This window comes from Homo sapiens, chromosome 3 (genome assembly GCF_000001405.40).
Source record: "Homo sapiens chromosome 3, GRCh38.p14 Primary Assembly".
Taxonomy (NCBI): domain Eukaryota; kingdom Metazoa; phylum Chordata; class Mammalia; order Primates; family Hominidae; genus Homo; species Homo sapiens.
In genome coordinates this window covers 143787563-143810531 of record NC_000003.12, presented here as the reverse complement: position 1 = coordinate 143810531, position 22969 = coordinate 143787563, and the positions used below count along the sequence as shown (strand labels likewise).

Genomic DNA, 22969 nt, shown 5'->3' with positions numbered 1-22969 from the left:
ATTTATTCTCCTGTCTCTGGAAAATGGGGATAATTGCATTTGCCAGCTACCACTTGAGAATGTTGTCAGAATTGATGAAACAATGTTTTTAAAAGACCTCTTTGGAAGGAATGTACTACATAAATCACAATCCCTCACTAGGATGGTTGTTTTAGTGATTATTTATTTAGTAGTTCAGTGGAACACTGATATTTCTTCCCAGATAAGTCATATTGAGTCAATGGATTCCTTAATACTCAGACCCAAACAGAATTTTATATCTGTAACCTTCTGATGAACTTGGAAATTAACTTGGTACATATCCTTTCCACTCTGGGAAGTGTTCAAGTTGATTATCTCTGTAAATATATGTCTGGGCCATTGCTAGCCAAATACTGGTGCACATATGAGATAATATTTAAAATTTGCTGCATCCTCGTGAACATATTGATATTTTTCTCTCTCCCATTTTATCTTTAAGAATTGAATTTTAATATTTAAAAATCTCACTGTTTTCATAAGACATACGTAATGTTTCCATCTCAGAGTTGGAGGTCTGTTGCTCCAAATTAGTCACACCTTTTGTAGTATGACAGAACATCTAAAAAGGAAATAGTATAAATTTTAAATTCTAGTAACCATCTATAAATGTACTCTCCAATTGCCACTAGCTACCAGTGTTAAAATTAAAAATTCAGTCCCTCAGTTGCACTAGCTACTGTTCAAGTGTTCAATGGCTCATGTGGCTAGTGGCCACCATATTGTATAGTACAAGGAAAGAACATTTCCACCATCACAAAAAGTTCTATTAGGCAGTGCTTGTCCATAAGATTTGTATCTTAAAAGACTAATGAAAGGCTTAAGCGGGAACATTTTTAGCTTTCTGCTCTTCTCACCCATCCCTCGCTTGGATTTTTTCTCCTCATGTTACAATAATTTCTTTTTAACTGTTTGGGCCTTAAAAACAGCCCCACCTCCAAGGCCACGATTTGAACACAAAGTCTGGGGAGAATGACATGTGGAATTCCCATCTGGAGGTTAGTACAGCAGCAGATCCAGCCATTTCTGAGAAATTGTCTGGGTTTGGAGTTACTCCCAGAACTCTGATTTAGCAGTTCGTAAGCTTACAGCAAGTCTGAAAAGAACACAAATCTGTTTTGTATACACAAATAAATCCTTGCATGCTGCATGCCATTCTCAGCCTGCCAGTTTCATCTGGCTGCTCCAGAAAATATAATTCAATAGGATATTAGTTAACCTGCATGCAGGGAATGGGGCATTTTCATTATTGAAATGTTCTGGTTGAGTGATTAACCCGATTTTTGCAGAAAAACTGCTGAGGCAAGGGATTTTCTGTCCAGGAGGTTGTACCACTGTGTTTCTCTCTTCCAGATGATCACAGCTGCACTGCTTCATCCCTCAAGCATTCAGAAATACATCTCTATGCTAAAAACTTTCAAATATGCATTGATATATTCTCAAAGAAGCCTCATAAAAATAGATCAATAATGGTGTTCCTGATACTCTTAGAAAGGGAACAAACTTAAATGAAAAATTAAGATCTTTCCTCAAATTTTGCACAGTTGTGTAACCTTTAGGAGTTTCTGACAATAGGCAGTTTCTTCAAATGCTATGATTTGAAAATATTCGTTCAAATATTTTATTTTCTTTTGTAATAAATAAAATGTGCTTACTAGATGTCAGGCAATGCTTTGAGGGCTTTACAAATATTAATTCATTTAATTCTTATAACCATCTTAGAATTAGGTACCACACTATTATGTCCATTGTAAAGATGAGAAAACTGAAGGACAGAGAGGTTAAATAGCTGTCCAAGTCAAGGAGCTTAGGATGTGAACCCAGGAAATTTGGCTCTGAGTGTCCATGCCCTTAAACACTACTCCAAATAGTTTATATAACAGAAGGAACCTAGATCATGAAATAAAATGATTTGTTTTTCTCCTCAGTGCCTCAGTTTTCATATATTAAAAGCCAGAGGTCAGTGAGGTAAAAACAGAATCAAAACATTGGTGCTTCTCTTCAAAAGATAATTACAAGCCAAGCTTTGTACACCAAAAGTCAAATGTACTAAGAGCCCAGAATCAATTATAAAATACAAAACCTAGTAGAATTAGATTGATTTTCTGAAAATAAATTAATGTAATACATTGGTTTTAAATATAGGATGAGCAGATCATCGTTTTCAGCTTCTGAGTTGATTGTGGCAGTCCAAAAAGCTTTTTTACTCAGGTTTCTGAATGAGCAAGTATAACAAAAGAAATGGCTGGAGTTTAATCATGTCTGATTCATAAATGTAAGTAAAACAATTTTTCTAGACATGTGGAATATGTGCTAGTGAGAGGAAACCAACGTTTGATGAGCAGCTATGATTTAGCAGGCATTTGACCTTAGGCTTTCTTACTACCTAAGCAAAAAACCTAGAAGTGATTTCTCCCTTTCCTGTTACCCTCAACACCTAACTTGTTGACTGCTCATTCTGCCTCCCCAGTATACTTGGGTACTGCCTTCTCTCCCCAACTCCCGGCCACCATCCTCTCTCACCGGGATTCTGCAGAAGCCACCCAAGTGACTTTCTTAAAGCATCGAGATGGTCTCTCATCCCCGCCCAGCCCTCTACCGGCACCTTCTCCATTTGGGATCACCTCCCAGCACTGCCCAATTCCACCTGGGTCTTCTTCAACCCCATCTGCCCATGCTATGGCCTTTGCCCACTCCACCCAGCCCCTCTGGCCTTTGGGTTTCTGAACACACACAGCTGTTGCCTTTTCTTTTCTTTTTTCTTTTTTAAAGACAGAGTCTCATTCTATTGCCCAGGCTGCAGTGCAATGGCGCCATCTCGGCTTACTGCAACCTCCGCCTCCCAGGATCAAGCGATTCTCCTGCCTCAGCCTCCCAAGTAGCTGGGATTACAGGCATGAGCCACCATGCCCAGCTAATTTTTGTATTTTTAGTAGAAACGGATTTGAACCCAGGAAGCTTGGCTCTGAGTGTCCATGCCCTTAAACACTACTCCAAGTAATTTATATAATAGAAGGAACATAGATCATGAAATAAAATGGTTTGTTTTTCTCCTTAGTGCCTCAGTTTTCATATATTAAAAGCCAGAGGTCAGTGAGGCCCCACACTATGGCCTTTGCCCACTCCACCATTTCTTTTGTTATACTGGCTCATTCAGAAATCTGAGTAAAAAAACTTTTTGGACTGCAACAATCAACTCAGAAGCTGAAAATGATGATCTGCTCATCCTATATTTAAAACCAATGTTTCACCAATTTGGCCAGGCTGGTCTTGAACTTCTGACCTCAAGTGATCCACACTCCTTAGCCTCCCAAAGTGCTGGGATTACAGGCATGAGCCACTGTGCCCAGCCTACACACAACTGTTTTCTACCTCAGATCTCTGTGCGTGTTATGCTCTGGCTGGGATCCTGTTTCCTCCACTCATCTCCTGTTTCGGTCACATTTCTGCCTTTGGATCTCAGCTCTAATTTCACTTCCTCGGAGAGCCAGTATGAGGAAGGGTGAAGGGAGGTTCTGACAATGCCCAAACAGGCCCAGAGTAAAACATGAAGCCAAGAGAGGCTTTTAAAAATTTTAGTGGTGAAGGTATCCATCTCCTCAAGCATTTATTATTTCTTTGTGCTATACACATTCCAATCATACTTTTAGTTAATTTTAAATGTACAGTAAGTTATTGTTGACTATACATACCTTGTTGTGCTCTCAAATACTAGATCTTATTCATTCTATGTAACTATGTTTTGTGCCCATTCACAATCCCCACTTGCCCCCCCCACCACCACATAATACCCTTCCCAGCCTCTGGTAACCATCATTCTACTTACTCTTTCTCTCCATGAGTTCAATTGTTTCAATTTTTAGCTATAGAATGAGTAAAAATATGCAAAATTTGTCTTTTGGCTTTTTAAAATTTTTAATTAAAAAATCCTTACCTGTGATGTGGGTATAATTCATTCCATTTTAATACATTTGACTCTCAAAAGTAAGTTTTTTTTTCCAGTTGAGCAAATATATATTGAGCAATTTGCTAGGCACTGGCAGAGGAGAAGGCAATGCAGACTAAGGCATCACTGTGATCCTTGATACGATCCCAATTTAATAGGAGAAACAGTCAAATATAAACCAATAATCATCAAAGTATGCAATGAAACACAGATGCCACAAAAGAGGGGCCAAAATGCTAAAAATCACAGAACAGAGAGTGGCCGGTTTGGAATGGCAAATCGGGCAGATATCACAGGGAAGTAACTTTTGAGAGGCAGCTTGAAAGATGAGTAAGAATTCAGGCATAAAAGGGGAAGAAAATTGTAAATTAGAGTTGTGAAACCCATACATTTGATTTTGATGAGGAGTCTAATGGTGAGAAGCTCTTAGTGGTAAAATAATGAATGCCTGTGTGTGTGGGTGGGGGACGGGGGGTAGGGGATGTGGGAAGAGGTGGGGGGGAAAAGAATAAAGGATAAAGAGAAGTAGAGAAATAAGATAATAAGTCCAGGAAAGTTTTAGAGATCAGTGAGTTTTTATTTTCAGATTACCCAGCAAAGAGCAGATAGATATTGGATTCAAGAATTTCTACATCATTTCTTTCACTCGAGTCTCTGTGAAGAGACCACCAAACAGGCTTTGTGTGAGCAATAAAGCTTTTTAATCACCTGAGTGCAGGCGGGCTGAGTCCGAAAAGAGAGTTAGCGAAGGGAGATAGGGGTGGGGCCGTTTTATAGGATTTGGGTAGGTAATGGAAAATTACAGTCAAAGGGGGTTGTTCTCTGGCAGGCAGGAGCGGGGTACACAAGGTGCTCAGTGGGGGAGCTTTTGAGCCAGGATGAGCCAGGAGAAGGAATTTCACAAGGTAATGTCATCAGTTAAGGCAGGAATGGGCCATTTTCACCTCTTTTGTGGTGGTATGTCATCAGTTAAGGCAGGAACCAGCCATTTTCACTTCTTTTGTGATTCTTCACTTGCTTCGGGCCATCTGGACGTATAAGTGAAGGTCACAGGGGATAAGATGGCTTAGCTTGGGCTCAGAGGCCTGACATTCCTGCCTTCTTATATTAATAAGAAAAATAACATAAAATAGTATTGAAGTGTTGGGGCAGCAAAAATTTTTTTGGGGGGTGGCATGGAGAGATAATGGGCGATGTTTCTCAGGGCTGCTTCCAGCAGGATTAGGGGCAGTGTGGGAACCTAGAGTGAAAGAGGTCAAGTTGAAGGAGGATTTTGTGGTAAGGGGTGATATTGTGGGGTTGTTAGAAGGAGGATTTGTCACATAGAATGATTGGTGATGGCCTGGATACGGTTTTGGATGAATTGAGAAACTAAATGGAAGATACAAGGTCCAAATAAAGGAGAAAAATAGGTATTAAAGGACTAAGAATTGGGAGGACCCAGGACATCCAATTAGAGAGTGCCCAAAGGGGTTCAGCGTAATTACTTGCTTGGTTGGCAAGTTTTTGGGCTCTGTCCTTGAGTTTTTTTATGTTGTCATACACCAGGCCAGATTGATTTAGGTAAAAACAATACTCTTCATTTAAAAATATACAGAGTCCTCCTTTTTCAGCAGTAAGTCAAGGCCTCAGCGGTTCTGGGGGACAACTGCAGCTAAACAGTCAACTTGGGCCTGGAGGACTGATAAAGTTTGTGATATGTCTGTGATGCTAGCAGAGAAGTCATTAGACAGGCTACGGAAGGTCGTGACAGAGGTTGAAATGCCTGCTATTCCAGTACCTAGAGCAATAGTGGAGGTGGAAAGTCCTAAACCGACCAGCAAGGGAATTAGTGGAATAACTCTTTTTTGTCGTGTTGGTGTCATGAGGGGAACAGGGAGCTCTTTGGTCCCATTTGCAAATTGAATTTTGGGAGTAAGGAAAACTAGTGAGCATGTGCCTGTCCAGTTAGCAGGTAGACACACGTAGGTAGAGGATCCACAGAGCAAGAAGAGACCTTGTGCAAGGCAAAACTGGAGATGCAAAGTAAAAAGATGAGAAGGAGTGCTGAAAGGGGTGTCTTGTACCCAGAATCCTAGGGATCCAGCTAGGGCGGCAGCCATCAGAGGTTGTAATGGGGACTGATGGGGTAACTGCTTAGAGGGGGAGGTTTGATTTTCATGGTGTAGGAGAAAACGTTGAGTGTCTACGAGTAACCTTTCACTGTTATTTACGGGGCTAGGGGTAAGTAAACAAGAAGAGGGCCTGGGAGGAGAGTCTGATGAGCAAGGGGAAGGTAGCCAAGGATGGAGTGAAATACAGGGTAAGTGTCTTCCTAAGCAATAATTACTGCTAATGTTTTTAAGTTTGTCAGTATTGATAGAGGGCTTATCTGTAATATGGAGCTGGAAGGCTCCAATTGTTTCAGTGATGTGTGTAGTTGGGCTTTGGAGATGAAGAGTGAAGGAACATCGAGAAGGTGAAAGGTTACCCAGGGGAATTCCAGTGGGTCTTTGCTGAGAGATACGTAAAGGAGCGGCCACAGGAATAGTAGTTTGTGTTGTGAGGGGTCCACATAAGGGGGGAGTAGAGTTAATATAAGGAGAAAGGTTTTTTAAGTAAGTGTGGAGGAGGACGGCAGCTTGCTGATGTGAAATGTCTGGGGAGGTCTTGCTGGACCTGTCTAGAAAGTAAAGAAGTTCTTCAGGAGGGTAAAGGTGAGGGCTGTTAAAGGAAGTTCAGGTTTAGGGAGACAGGAGATGTCGCCCAGTCTGTATGTAAGGCGGGGACAGCTGTGTAGGCGCTGGAAGAAAGGGAAATGCAAAGCCAGCAATTGTTTGCTAAGGAGGGATTAGAAATGGCTAGGAGAGAGTGAGTAAGGTTGATAGCGTGGTGGAGATAGCTGGGGAGAGATAGAGGGTGGCATAAGGATGGGAATGAGAATAACAGTGAGTATAAAAGTAAAGAATAGAACTTCATCAGGGTGAAAGTATTGAAGGGTGCCCTGCCAGCAAAGATCCTCTATCCACTCTAAGAGGGAGTTAAGAGTGGCAGTTTGGGGATAGCACCAGGAGACAACAGCTGTGATGGCTTGGAGAAACAGTGTAAACCGGCAGTGTAAACAAGAGTAGGGCATTTATAAGTAGTAGAGAATGATGAATAAAACTAGACAGAAGATAGTAGGGATGACTAGTTTTGGGGGCTCTGCCCAAGTAGTGGGGGTGACTGCATAAAGCCCTGTTGCAAAAAGTAGGATAAGGATGAACAGGCCTAATAGAATGAAGGGATGTATTAGGCTCATAAGGGTTGTTACTGTTCTTCAGAAATGCAAGTGAGTTTAAGGGAAGTAGGGGAGAGTACTTGTGACTTCCAGGAGGAAGAGGGGGGATTAGGCTGGCTGACTGATGGACACAGCTTTACTCTGGAACGGTGAACCCAGTGGGGAGGATCCTGCAGGTGGACGGCAGTTGGGGTACTATAGATGACTAAGTAGGGTCCAGTCCATCGAGGTTGTAGAGTTTGAGGGGTCAGATTCTTAACAAGAACTGATTGTCCAGCTAGGGTGTGTTCATATGGTTGAGAATCTGGAGTAGGCAAGAGAAGATTAGCAGCCTGGCGAATTTCCTGTCTAGCCTGCTGGAGGACTGGAGGATAGTCACCTAGAGGGCTGGTGTCTGGGACAAGGTTGGGGCTGAGTAAGAAAGTGCGTCCGTATAAAAGTTCAAATGGACTGTACCCTGTAGCATCTCGAGGACAGGCTCTAATTCTGAGAAGGGCAAGAGGTAAAAGTACTGTCCAGTCCTTTTTAAATTGGAGGCTGAGCTTGGTGAGGTGTGTCTTTAAAAGACCATTAGTCTATTCTACCTTTCTTGAAGATTGAGGATGGTAAGGGATTTGAAGGTTCCACTGAATACCAAGAGCCTGAGAAACTGCTTGGGTAATTTAACTAGTAAAGGCTCATCCGTTATCGGACTGTATAGAGGTGGGAAGGCCAAACTGAGGAGTTATGTCTGACAGAAGGGAAGAAATGACCACGGTGGCCTTCTCAGACCCTGTGGGAAAGGCCTCTACCCATCCAGTGAAAGTGTCTACCCAGACCAAGAGGTATTTTAGTTTCCTGACTCGGGGCATGTGAGTAAAGTCAATTTGCCAATCCTGGGCAGGGGCAAGTCCCTGAGCTTGATGTGTAGGGAAGGGAGGGGGCCTGAACAATCCCTGAGGGGTAGTAGAATAGCAGATGAAACACTGAGAAGTGATTCCCTTGAGGACAGATTTCCATGATGGAAAGGAAATTAGAGATTCTAAGAGGCGGGCTAGCGGCTTGTAACTTACATGGAAGAGGTTATGAAATGATGACACAATAGAATGGGCCTGTGAGGCTGGAAGGAGATACTTTCCTTGGTCTAAGAACCATTTGCCTTATGTGGAAAGAGATTGACAGGTGGGAGTTTCAGTGGGGGAGTAGGTGGAAGTGACCGATGAGAAGGAGAAAAACTGGCCGTGAGGGACAGAAGTTGGAACACTAGCTGCTTCTTTAGCTACCTTATCAGCATAAGCGTTGCCGAGGGCAATGGGATCTGATGCCTTTTGATGGCCTTTGCAGTGAATGACTCCAGCTTCTTTTGGAAGTAAAGCGGCCTTGAGAAGAGTTTTTATTAAAAAGACATTAATGATGGAGGACTCTTGTGTAGTGAGGAAACCTCTTTCAGCCTATATAACAGCATGGTGGTGCAGGATGTGGAAGGCATATTTAGAGTCAGCATAAATATTGACATGTAATCCCTTTGCAAGAGTGAGGGCCCGAGTTAAGGCAATGAGTTCGGCTTGTTGAGAGGTAGTGGAGTAGGGCAGAGCGGTAGCCTCAATGATAGATGTGGAAGATATATAGCATAGCCTGCCTTTGCTGGTGAGTGGCGATTAGGCCTGATGGAGCTGCCATCAGTAAACCAAATGTGATCAGGGTGAGGAACAGGAAAGAAGGAAACATGGGGAAATGGGGTGTATGTCAGGTGGATCAGAGAGATACAGTCATGGGGGTCAGGTGTGGTATCCGGAATAATGTGGGAGGCTGGATTGAAGTCTGGGCCAGGAACAATGGTAATGGTGGGAGTCTCAACAAAGAGTGAGTATAACTGAAGGAGCTGGGGAGCAGAAAGTATATGCATCAAGTGTGAGGAAGAAAATAGATTTTGGAAGTTACGAGAGCTGTAGACAGTGAGTTGAGCATAGTGTGTGATTTTAAGGGCCTCTAAAAGTATTAGGGCAGTGGCAGCCGCTGCATGGAGACATCATGGCCAGTCTAAAACAGTAAGGTCAAGTTGTTTGGACAAAAGGTCTACAGGGCGCGGTCCCGGTACTTGTGTAAGAATTCCAACTGCACAGCCCTGCACTTCAGCTGTGTGTAACCAAAAGGGTTGGGATGAGTCAGGGAGAGCTAGTGTGGGAGCAGTCTCTAAATCTGTCTTCAAGGAATGGAAAGAGGAGTGGGGAAAGGATTTAGGATCTATGGGGTCAGCTAGGTTTCCTTTTGTGAATTTACATAATGGGTTTGTTAGGATGGCAAAACCAGGTATCCAAAGGTGAAAGTATCCAACCATGCCTAGGAAGGAAAGGAGTTGTTGTTTTGTAGAAGGTGTTGGGGTTTGAGAGATCAGTTTGGACACAATCGGCAGGGAGAGCATGTGTGTTTTTATGAAGAATTATGCCAAGACAGGTAACGGATGGAGAAGAAATTTGAGCTTTGGAGGGGAATACCCGATATCCTTTGGAGAATAAATGTTGAAGGAGCAGGAGGGTGTCTTGTTAGGAAGACTCAAAGGAGGGACTACAAAGTAGAAGGTCATCAATATATTGAATAAGGTGAGAAGTGGAGGGGTGGAAAGAAAGTAAATCATGAGAAAGAGCTTGGCTGAAGTAATGAGGGCTGTCCCTGAAGCCTTGCGGCAGCACAGCCCAGGTAAACTGCTGGGACTGATGGGTGTCAGGGTCAGTCCAGGTAAAAGCAAAGAGAGACTGGGATAAGTGGTGCAGGGGAATAGTGAAAAAAGCATCTTTAAGATCAAAAACGGAACAGTGAGTTGTGGAGGAAGGTATTGAGGACAAAAGAGTATATGGGTTTGGCACCACGGGGTGGATAAGTAAAATAATTTGGTTCATAAGGCGCAGATCCTGAACTAACTTGTAAGACTTGTCTGGTTTTGGGACAGGTAAAATGGGGGAATTGTAAGGAGAATTTGTAGGCTTTAAAAGGCCATGCTGTAACAGGCAAGTGATAACAGGCTTTACTCCTTTTAAAGCGTGCTGTAGGATGGGATATTGGCATTGAGCAGGGTAAGGGTGATTAGGTTTTAATGGGATGATAAGGGGTGCATGATTGGTCACCAAGGAGGGAGCAGAGGTGTCCCATACCTGTGGATTAAGGTAGGAAGATACAAGGGGAAGATGCGAAGGAGACTTTGAACTGGGGAAAAGGCAGCAATGAGGTATGGCTGTAGCCCAGGAATAGTCAGGGAAGCAGATAATTTAGTTAAAATGTCTCGACTTAATAAGGGAGCTGGGCAGGTGGGGATAACTAAAAAGGAGTGCTTAAAAGAGTATTGTCTAAGTTGGCACCAGAGTTGGGAGTTTTAAGAGGTTTAGAAGCCTGGCCATCAATACCCACAACAGTTATGGAGGCAAAGGAAACAGGCCCTTGAAAAGAAGATAATGTGGAGTGGGTAGCCTCTGTATTGATTAAAAATGGTACAGACTTACCCTCCACTGTGAGAGTTACCTGAAGCTCGGTGTTCGTGATGGTCTAGGGGGCTTCCGAGGTGATCAGGCAGCATCGGTCTTCAGCCGCTAAGCTGAGAAGATCTGGGAAGGAGTCAGTCAGAGAGCCTTGGGCCAGAGTTCCAGCGGCTCTGGGAGTGGCTGCCAGGTGAGTTGAACAGTCCGATTTTCAGTGGGGTCCCACACAGATGGGACATGGCTTAGGAGGAATCCTGGTCTGCGGGCATTCCTTGGCCCAGTGGCCAGATTTCCGGCACTTGTAGCAAGCTCCTGGATGAGGAGGTTCTGGAAGAACCCCTGGCAGCTGGGGTTCAGGAATTTGGAGTTCTTGTGTGCTGGAAATGTGGCTGGGGTTTGTCTCACAGTGGGGGCAAGGAATTGCAACTCAGAAATACATTGCTACTTGGCTGCCTCTACTCTATTATTGTACACCTTGAAGGCGTGGTTAATTAAGTCCTGTTGTGGGGTGTGAGAGCTGGAATTTAATTTTCGAAGCTTTACTTAATGTTGGGAGAGGATTGGGTAATAAAATGCATATTGAGAATAAGATGGCCTTCTGGCCCCTATGGGTCTAGGGCAGTAAAGCATCTAAGGGTTGTTGCCAAATGGGCCATGGACTGGGCTGGGTTTTTATACTTGATGAAAAAGAGCCCAAATGCTAACTGATTTGGGAGAGGTCGGATAAAGAAAAAGGAGCATTAACCTTGACTATGCCTTTAGCTCCAGCCACCTTTTTAAGAGGAAATTGCTGGGCAGGTGGGGGAGGACTAGTCGTGGAACAGAACCGTAAGCCAGACCAGGTGTGAGGAGGGGAGGTGATAAAAGGATTATAGGGTGGAGGAGCAGAGGCTGAGGAAGAATTGAGACCTGGCTCAGCCTGGCAAGGAGCAGCCTGGGGAGGAGGGGAGAGGTCAGTTGGGTCTGTAGAAAAGGAAAATTGGAAAGACTGAGCAACACTTGGGGTTGGAACTGAGGGGACAGGCGGGAGGGAAAGAAGCAAGATTTGGGACAAGTTGCATGGGAACAGAGACTAGGGAGGGACCGATGTGTAAAAGAGTGCCTGGATGTCATGCACCTCAGACCATTTGCCCATTTTACGACAAGAATTATCTAGATCTTGTAGGATGGAAAAATTGAAAGTGCCGTTTTCTGGCTGTTTGGAACCACTGTCGAGTTTCTACTGGGGTCAAGTGGTGTTGCAGAAGAAAATAAAATGCTTAGATTTTAGGTCAGGTGAGAGTTGAAGAGGTTTTAAGTTCTTGAGAACACAGGCTAAGGGAGAAGAAGGAGGAATGGAGGGTGGAAGCTTGCCTATAGTGAAGGAGGCAAATTTAAAGAGAAGGGTAGAGACATGGAGAAGGGTGTGGGGAGCAGCTCTGGGCAGCCAAAGCAGGCGTCCCCGCAATTGACTTGCCACCAAGGGAATGTGGGTGAATGACCAAGGCAGGTGTCCCTGTGGTGATCACACACCAATGGAATGTGGGTGAATAATCAGGCAGGCATCCCCACAGTGATTAAACACCAAGGGAAGACTGTCTTCCCGAGTCTGTGACTGGCGCCGGAGTTTTGGGGTCCACGGATAAAATGTGTCTCCTTTGTCTCTACCAGAAAAGGAAAGGAACTGAAATTAAGAGAAGGGAGAGATTGAAGTGTGGCGCCAAGATTGAAAGGAGAAAGAGGTTGAGGGATAGGGAGAGAGGCTGGAGAAGAGAGTAAAGAGAGTCCGCTTACCGGATTTAAAATTGGTGAGATGTTCCTTGGGCTGGTTAGTCTGAGGACCAGAGGTCGTAGGTGGATCTTTCTCACGGAGCAAAGAGCAGGAGGACAGGGGTTGATCTCCCAAGGGTGGTCCCCTGATCCGAGTCATGGCACCAAATTTCACATGCATCTGTGTGAAGAGACCACCAAACAGGCTTTGTGTGAGCAATAAAGCTTTTTAATCACCTGGGTGCAGGTGGGCTGAGTCCCAAAAGAGAGTCAGTGAAGGGAGATATGGGTGGGGACATTTTATAGGATTTGGGTAGGTAGTGGAAAATTACAGTCAAAGGGGGTTGTTCTCTGGTGGGCAGGGGCGGGGGACACAAGGTGCTCAGTGGGGGAGCTTTTGAGCCAGGATGAGCCAGGAGAAGGAATTTCACAAGGTAATGTCATCAGTTAAGGCAGGAACAGGCCATTTTCACTTCTTTTGTGGTGGAATGTCATCAGTTAAGGCAGGAACAGGCCATTTTCACTTCTTTTGTGGTGGAATGTCATCAGTTAAGGCAGGAACCGGCCATTTTCACTTCTTTGGTGATTCTTCACTTGCTTTGGGCCATCTGGTCCATGCAGGTCACAGGGGATATGATGGCTTAGCTTGGGCTCAGAGGCCTGACAATTTCACTGCACTTCATACCAAGTCATACTTGCTTTATGGCCAAGTTTATTTTGACATTTAAGTAAAACCCAATAAACAAATACTAGAAAAATCAATTTTCAAGTTCAAGTGTGTTCTTCCATGGAGTCTGGAAAATGTTTTAAATTTTGGAATGGGACAAAATAGGGAAAGCGAAGAACCAATTTCCAAAAATATTTTATTTGGGGAAAACTTTAAATAAATCCTTGTAAGAAGCCTATATACATATATATTTTATATATATATAAAAAGACATTTTTCTCAGAGAGATTTCACTGAGTTTTTGTTGTTGTTGTTAGCTATAGTGTGGAAGTATGTAGATTTTACCTTTAGAAGCTACAGTTATACTGTATTTATGAATTTCCAAATTTTCATTTTTTCCTACCTTCATCTCTGCCAAGTTAATAGTTAATATGCCTCACAAAGGCTTAGCAAAAGCAATTACAACTGTTTTTTGAAACATGTTTTTTTAATGACCCAAAGGAGCATCATTCTAACTATCCTTTTTTTCCTTTCTGGCAGATGACATTTGATCCAGAAATCTTCTTCAATGTTTTACTGCCACCAATTATATTTCATGCAGGATATAGTCTAAAGAAGGTAAATATATAGTGATCATTTTCTTCTTTTATCATTAAGTAGAGAATTTTACCAGCACTAATGAGAAACTGTTATTTTTATGGGCTTCTCTATTTGGTAAGAGTATCATTATCTTAAATTTGTGATGCAGATTCAAACCTGACATGCTTAGAATTCTAGACTTCTTCTAAACCTGTTCTGTTGAATACAGGCCATTAACCACATGTAACTATTGAGCTCTTGAAATGCGTCTTGTCTGAATCGAGATGTTCTTTAAGTGTAAAATACACACTGGATTTTAAAGATTTTGTATTTATTCAAATAATGTAAATATTTCCATAATGTTTTATATTGATTTCGTGTAGAAATGTTAGTATTTTGGATAGATTGGATTAAACAAAACATTATCAAAACCTATTTCATCTTTTAAAAACATTTTAATGTAGCTGCTAGAAAATTTAAAATTTTTTAAATATGTGGCTTGCATTATATTTCTATTGGACAGCATTATTCTGGATGATTGTAACCAAAGACTTTGGTTATTAATTAACATTGAGTTTATCCTTTAAAGTGAAAACTCAAGACTACTGTTGATGCTCATAGACAGGAAAGTCCAGTTTTACAGTTTCTATGCACTTGTCTAACAGTACTTGAGCACGGCCTGACTATGCACATTTTGTACATTAGTAATTCACATAATGGTTTAAGTACTGGCATCCCCTGAGCCACAGAGTGAGGCTCCAGCCCACGTGGTTTTTGAGATGCAGAGGTGATGTGGCTGCTCTTCTGCTGCTCAGCTCCCACTCTAGGAGATTCCTGGGGCTTTCTTCCTCTTGAGCAGTCATCTTCAGCAGCCAGGCAGCTTGTTCATCACAGACCTGATTTTCTTGTGTGTACTCCAGGCTCCCTCTTGCTGTCAGGTCTGGCTCCTCAGATCCCACTCAAAAAACTGGAATGGGGTTTTCCCTAAGCAAGCAGTTGAAAAAATTTAGAAGGCTGGATTTGTTCAGGTAACCCTTCCTCATTGCCAGTCCCAATACTAAGCATCATTTTGTGGCTGACTCATTAAAATAAAGTGAATTGCTGTAGGTTTGGGGGATTTGTTTTGTTTTGTTTTGGAGACACAGTCTCCCTCTTTTGCCCAGGCTGCAGTACAATGGTACGATTATGGCTCACAGCAGCTTCGACCTCCTGTACTCAAACAATCTTCCTTCAGCCTCCCAAATTGCTGGAATTACAGGCGTGAGCCACCCACCAGGCTGTTGTAGATTTTTAAAGTTTATTTTCATCACATTCAGAAGATATAAAAGAGAAGTCAGACATCCAGTAAAATCAACAGGCAACGTAAATCTCTTAGAATAGTTTTGTTGTTGTTGTTGTTTTAATGCTAAAGGAATTGCATTTACAACAAAACTTCATGAAAACTGTGTCTTCCATTATTGCCCCGATTCTGGCATAGACATTGCCCAGTTCCTTGCTTCCCTCTCAGGTCCAGCCAGTTCTTGGAGTTGTCTCTCTCATCCCTACCTACTCATCTTCCAGTGGGTTTTTTTTTTTTTTTTTTTCTGCTTCTTGACTTTTCCCTCCAGTCCTTTGCAATGATAATCAGTTAAGTCCCTATTAGCACAATAAGGCCAGGAACGAGGCTCCAAAACCAAAATTTGCCTAAACAGTGAGGGGTCTGTGAACTGCATACATTTATTTTTATTTTCTTTTGCACTAAGAAAAAATTCTGATGTACTCTATTAAATATCTTTTTTTCTCCCCAGAGACACTTTTTTCAAAACTTAGGATCTATTTTAACGTATGCCTTCTTGGGAACTGCCATCTCCTGCATCGTCATAGGGTAAGTGACATTCGGAGCTCAAGTTGCAGGTGGCTGTGGGGTCTGTGATCTGTGTGAGGGATCTAACACTTCCAGGATTCTTGCTGGCTGGGAAAATTGTCTTTTTTTTAGTATATCACATATTTGTATGTTTTTTCTGACTTAATTCCACGGCTTCTGACAAATACAAGGCTTCAAATCAAAGCAAACTAGAGGATTGCTGGACTTTCTCTGTGAGTTCTGGACTTCTGACTTAGGGAATGTGGATCACTTGCCTTGAGTTATGTGAAGCGCATTGCATTCTTCTTTTAGTTTGAGTAATGCCGATATGCTCACTGCATTCTTTTTTGTCTTGTATTGAGAGACCTTACCTGTATTTGGCAGGAGTGCAAAAGTAACTATATGCCAAGAGTTTTCTTTCTAAAGGAAAGTTTACAAGACAGCAGTCTGAAACAGATATGTCCAAATATCAACAGAGTTGCTTAATACAGGGATAGCTTTTCAGTTAATACCCTGTAGAATGCAGACTCTTTTTTTCATTGTATTTTCTTGATTATGCTACTGAGCCCTAAGTCACACGTTATATACTCTGGCTTGCAGCTCATCATAAAGTAAAATGTGGTACCAAATGGTGAAGGCAATCCAGCCTCTGATAATCCCGTCCAATACATTAAAGCTCCACTGCAGGAAAAAAAAAAAATGTCCAGGTACTATGACTGTGATGATGCAGATGTCTTCAATTATCTGATACAGTCAACTCTATCCTTGATTTTTACTGTCTACAGCTGTTATAACCCAGCACAAGAAACTGATGCTAAAAATACACACGGTTCATGCCTCCACCCATTCTCTTACAGAGTTTCTAGTGTGTGTCAATTGAGGCCAAGGAAGTGTCAGGCGGTGTCTTTACTTGTGCCTGTAAGCAGAGGGATTTTGTGTTGAATGCACTGCTAAATTTCTTTTGAGTTGAGCCTAGAACAAGTCAGGCCATGTTATATAAAAATATTCAGAATGGTTTAAGGCAGTGAGAAAATTAAAGATTTTAGCACCTGAAAAGGGAGGTTTGCAAGCCTATAGATTAGGGAGCCCCATTAAGTTTGGACACTTAAATGGTCTTTAAACTGTGGGTGACCTGAGAGACACAGGGTACTTGATCCTTCTTAAAGCATGTTCTAGGAGGGCTTTTCTGTTCTGTGAGTATGCAATAGCTAAATATTCACATTTCTAAACTTTGCAGGGGCCTGAGAGATCTGTGTAACTACAGCCTCTCATTCGAAGATGAGACATCTTGAATAAATAGTTGGCTCAATCTTACCATCTCTGAGAATCAGGGCCGTTGTCAAAACAGAACTCAGAACTTCTGCTTCTGATCCAGCAGGCCTTCACCCTCTCTTCCTTTAGCAATTTCTCTTGAATTCATAAACATCCCTATACATTGTTTCTACACATTGAGAGAGGGTTCTGAGACATGTGGACTCACAACAAATGTTCCTTGGTTAGTAGTAAAGATTTATTTTAGTGGTTCTATAATATGGGGTCTTGAAATTTATAATGGATCCAAATTCTAAACTCTTGGACAATGCTGCCAAATTATAGAATAGTAAATTTTTATTGTTACCTCATTTCTTTGGTACAACTGGTTTTAAGTATATTTAAGTGCATTTATTTATATTATATGCTTTCACTATCATGAAAAATCTAAATTCTTTCTTAGATCTTTCAATATCATTTTTTTAGAAAGCACCAATATATACTGTGTGTGTGTGTGTGTTGTATATAATTGCCTTTATCTAAAACATTTCAATTTAAGAGATCCAGTGGTTTTCATTTACTGGGGTTGAGAACCTATTTTGATTTATTTTAAAACAGATTTTAAATTGTTGGTTGTCCAACAACTTATAATGGAAAGTCATTTGACTAAAAGAGTAGTCCTAAGAAAAATTTTAGAACGGTGTTCTTAGTTTGAACTGGGTATCTGAGCAACAAAAATTTGTAGTTACTTTCTTAATTTGGGTCATTAAAATACAGAAGGGAAAGATAGCCTAAACATTTTAGAATCGTATCTAGTGAGGTAAGGGAAATCATTGAAATGTTTTAGCTTGAAGATGAAAAGTCAGATTCATACTTTAGGGAGGTCATTTTGGTAGCTGCGTGAAGGAGAAATTTTAAAATGGGTACCATTTAAGAGGTAATTTACGTAGGCCAGATTGGAAATGATAAAGGCCTGGACTCAGGCAGTGGCAGAAAAGGTAAATGTAGAGTCATTAGCTTGGTGAAATCTTGGGAGAATATGGCATCACCCAGGGCAAGTAAGTGAAGTGAGAAGGAAAGAGATCTAGGGAACATCACTATTTTGAAGAAAGAGAAGAGACACTCACAAGGCACCAAGGAGTATTGGACCCCCAAAACAGGAAGAAAACCAACAGGGCATGTGTTCTGGAAGTCAAAGGAAGAGGAAAAGGGAGGGTCCACAGAACCTAACACAGGAGAGGTCAAATGGGATAGGAATTGTGGTACCACTGGATTTGACCCCTAGGAGGTAATGGGTGACTTTACACTTGTCTTATGGGCAAAAATGAGGGAAGAGTATTGGCAAGTCCAATTGTTTTGGGAGCCATATAATAAGAAACAAGAATTTACTTTTATGCTGCCAGTCTTGATATATAATTTCAGAACTTCTGAAGAAGAGGGCACATACTTAAATTCAGATCAAACTGACACTTTCATAACTTGGTAACTTCCATTATATGAGATACAATCAAACTATAGAAAGTGACTGGCTGTATTTTTCTTATAAATAAATGGTGACAAGGACAACAATTTATGGAGTGCTTGATACGTATCATGCCCTTTTTAAAAGCACTTTGCATGGATTATCCATCTAATCTTCAAAATAATCCTATTAAGTAGATACTATTTATTACCCTCATTTAACAGATGAAACAACTGAGGTTTAAAAAGAGTAACACAGTGGTAAGTAATAGAGCTGGGATTAGTAACTAAATTGTTTGGCTCCGGAGTCAAATAATTAATGCCAAAAACGTGCTTTACTTCTGTTTGTTGAATATTAGCACCAAAAAAATGAAATTGTATAAATCAATCAATATTCATCAACATAACCACGTTTCTTCATTATCCCAGTAGGAGTTCTCATAGACATGGGAGATTTTTATTTGGGAAGTCCATCCAAAAGGAATTCACATTTTTAAGGGATGGCCTGAGTTTATGCAGATATACGCAGATTTGCATGAAATGGGCAGGGGGAGAGATTCAGAATAGAAGTTAGATCAAACTCTTTGAGAATAATTTCATAGAGGAAGTGGATCCTGGGCAGACATTTAGTGGAGAAGGATAAAGAAGTCAGATTTTCCATGCCATTAAGTGCATTAGTTATGATGGGTGCCAGGAACGTTGTGCAAAGTTCCAGGATGGAGAGTAGGTTTCATGTAGCAGTGCCAGAGAATGTGGGAATGAAAATGCTAGAGAGTCAGCTGACAAAAGGCCATGAAGTCCAGCATCCAAAGTGTATGAGAACATGAAGGCCATGGAGAGAGATTGTGGAACATGAATGAAACTCTACTGGTGGGCTGTGACCTTCTGTAGCTAAGCAATATTGGTTTTAGCTGGACTCAGATGCTTTACAGGAATGGAGATCATTGGGTTTATTTGCATGAACAAGGTCTTTAAGTTTTATTAGTTTCATATGATTTCAGAAATTAGATGTAAACCGTTTTTCATATTGCATGGGAAAGTTTAACAATATTCCTTCTGGCAAGAAAGTTGAAGAAACCTTTTTTTATTTCAATGATAGATTGCTCGGAAAGAATTCACCTACCTTCTCTAGTACCCTCTCCCATTTTATCACTTGAGAAGTAGTATTTTAAATCCATCTCCTTCTAAGAAGAAAAGTCCATGTGTTTGAAATATTTCTGTATTCATGTCCTCCATCTTGGGGAACTATTCTTTGATCTTTGACTCTATGTCTCCACCCTATACACCATGCCAATATATCACAATGACAACCTAGCTGAAGCTCACTGTCAGCACATACATTTTGTTCTAAGAACTCATTAGTACCTATGAAATGCTTCTTTTTAAGAGCAACAAAAATTATATGCTCTTAGTTTCTCTGTTAATGAGGAATTAAAACAAATTTCACAGTTTCAAAAATATTTAAAGAAAGGGACATTGAATGATCAGGAATGGAGAATTAATTTTAAGAATACCTCATTTAAAAATTTTCTTTCCATGTGCCAGACACTGACTTATGCTTTTTACATGTATTATCTCATTTTATCTTATACTACCCCTATGAGGTAAATACTGTTATTATCATTATTTTACATATGAAGATGCTGTAGTTTAGACTTGTCCAAGATTATACAGTAAGTGGTAGTAAACTCAGAGCCAGTCTGACTCTAGAACACATGCTCTTAGAATCTCCTTGTCCTTCTCCTCCTCCTAAAATGACACTTTATGTGTCCTGCAGTATTGCATGAAATGGGCAGTATGTATCAGTAATTATATCTGTCTGACAGACTAAGACCTCAATAATTTCAGATTCTTACATTTATCATTATGGCTAGAAATCATGAAAAATCTAAATATTTCAGAATTGGCTGTGAATATAATTGCAAACAGGAATTCAAACCTGTCTTTTCTTACTGAAGGTGGTTGGAGGAATGGTACGAATCCATTTTACTTGCTTAATGTATTAGTCCATTCTCATGTTGCAGTGAAGAAATACCTGAGACTGGGTAATTTATAAAGAAAAGAGGTTTAATTGACTCACAGTTCCGCATGGCTGGGGAGGCCTCAGGAAACTTACAATCATGGCAGAAGGCACCTCTTCACAAGGCGGCAAGAGAGAGAATGAGAGCGAAGCAGGGAAGAGCCCCTTATAAAACTATCAGATCTAATGAGAACTCACTCACTATCATAAGAACAGCATGGGGTACCACCCCCATGATCTAATCACCTCCCACAAGGTCCCTCCCCTAACATATGGGGATTATAATTCAGATTACTATTCAACATGAGATTTGGGGTAGGGACACAGCCAAACCATATCAGCTAGAATGCTGGACTCGGTAACTCACTCAGGAAAACATGGATTTATAAATATTATGAGGTTGTTTACATTATTCATATAAACATTCTTGAGAAGTATTGATTTCTCATTGGGCTTCTTGAATATACACAGCATAGGACTGTGCCTGACACCTCTACCCATCTGTCCATGAGGCATAGGAGTGAGGGGGCTGTGTGGACACTCTCCCTCTGCCCTCTTGTGTGCCACTGTGCCTGCTCAACTGGGGACCTTGAGACCTAAGTGCCCTTGGAACAGGTTCTGGAACCTGTTCTTAATTAGGATAGATATGGTGAGTCTCAGTAGCCCCAAAATGCTGACTTCTAAACCTGGATGACAGGACACATTTACTTGTCTAGAACCCAAACCTGAGGATGTGTCCTTCATAGATGGAGGCCAATCTGTACCTCAGTGCCTTCCTTAAGCTCTAACCCTGGAAAGAGAATGATTTAGAACAGGGTTTCTAACCCAGGGAAGAGTGACCCTGAGATGGTACATAGAAGGATTTCAGGGAAGCAGAGAATTTTTCATGGGAGACAGTCTGCATTGATCCCATTTCATCAGATTCTCTAGGAAGCTGCAATCCACAAAAGCACAGAATTAGTATGTTTTTCAAGAGCCTGGGCAAAGAGAAAGTCAGGACGGTGAGAATTTTACATATCTCCTTGTTTAGCTAGAACTAAAGGTTTCTCTAGGATGCACTCAGGGTGGCCGTAAAGTATGGAGATATGCATGCTATGATTTTACCATGTACTGTGAGGTAATAACAATAAACTACTTATTATGTACCTATCTGTGTTCCCAGACTTGGTGGCCGTCTTGTATCTATACCTAACAGTGGATGTGCTGAGTTTTAGAGTCGAGAAATGAATTTATTTTTTCAAAATATGCCAAATTGTTTTCCAAAGTACTGGTATCAATTTTCCCTCTTAATTTTTGCCAATCTAGTAAGTATGAAATAACATTTTATTTTCTTCTTTGGTATTTCCTTGGTTGTTAATAAAGTTGTTTACATTTTTGTATGATACCTTTTCAAGCTTTTTGTCCATTTTTCTATTGAGTTGTCTTGTCATATTTTCATTAATTTGGCAGAGTTCTTTATATGTTCTTCATAACAATCTATACTCATTTATTTTGCAAATATTTTTTCTTAGTTTGCCTCTTATACTTTTACTTCATACATGCTTATGCATGTATGAAGTATACATCATCAGAGATGATGTCTTTTTTTTTTTTTTTTTTTTGATGGAGTCTCACTCTGTCGCCCAGGCTGGAGTGCAATGGCGTGATCTCACCTCACTGCAACCTCCACCTCCCAGGTTCAAGCAATTCTCTTGCCTCAGCTTCCCAAGTAGCTGGGATTTACAGGCATGTACCACTACACCCAGCTAATTTCATAGTTTTAGTAGAGATGGGGTTTAACCATGTTGGCCAGGCTGGTCTCTAACTCCTGACCTCAGGTGATCCACCCACCTTGGCCTCCCAAAGTGCTGGGATTACAGGCGTGAGCCACCATGCCCAGTTCATACATGATGTCTTTTAGTGAATAGAAGTTCTTGATTTTAATGCTGTCAAATTTATAAATATTTTCCTGTGTGGTTGGAATTTTTGTATTTTGTTAATAAGTCCTCCCCTACCTCAAAGTCAGAAAGACATTCTCTTCTAAAGTGTTTTAAAGTTGTGCCCTTTACAGTGAATTCATTTCCTGGAACTCATTTTTTATATGATACAAAGTTAACATCCAATTAATTATTTTTCCTCCAATGGATAACTAATTACACTAATACCACTTATTGTATGGCCCTGCCTTTTCTCCGGATCTACACCACCTCTTCTATAATATATTGTGGTGTCTGTTTCTAGACTTTTAATTTTATTTTATTGGTTTATAATCTATCCCTGCACCAATACCATACTTTCAATTATTTTAACTTCATAATAAGTCTGTATATCTTGTAGGATAAGACAGAGAGGATCTTCTTCTTCAGGAGTACCTTGTCTGTTATTACTGTAGTTCTTTACTGTTTCATATAAATTTACTCCAATATATATATTTATGAGTATATATATTTACATTTATAAATATATTCTTATATAATTCATTTGTATTTGTATACCTTATAACTATTTCTAAGTATTTTTCTTACGGACCCACTTACATATGAGCACTAAGGAGACATGTATAAGGATATTTGTAGCAACACTTCACAATAGCAAAAACTTGGAAACACTCAGATTCTATTAACAGAATAGGCAAATAAATTCACATAACATAATATTACACAGCAGTGAAAAACAGTGAAATAAAGTCATCTATGATGACATGGATAAATTTCAAAAACAATGTAAAATAAACAAATCAAGTCCTGT

General features: G+C 40.9%; 1 protein-coding gene across 4 annotated transcripts in view; it reads left to right on the top strand.

Moving 5' to 3' along the window:
• SLC9A9 (solute carrier family 9 member A9) overlaps positions 1-22969 on the top strand; it is a 583247-nt gene that overhangs the window by 37937 nt on the left and 522341 nt on the right. For all 4 annotated transcript variants that reach the window (XM_017006203.2, NM_173653.4, XM_017006202.3 and 1 more), the window contains 2 exons: positions 13629-13706; positions 15455-15531. In XM_017006203.2, coding sequence (XP_016861692.1) covers positions 13629-13706; positions 15455-15531 — 155 coding nt within the window. The remainder of the gene's footprint in view (positions 1-13628; positions 13707-15454; positions 15532-22969) is intronic.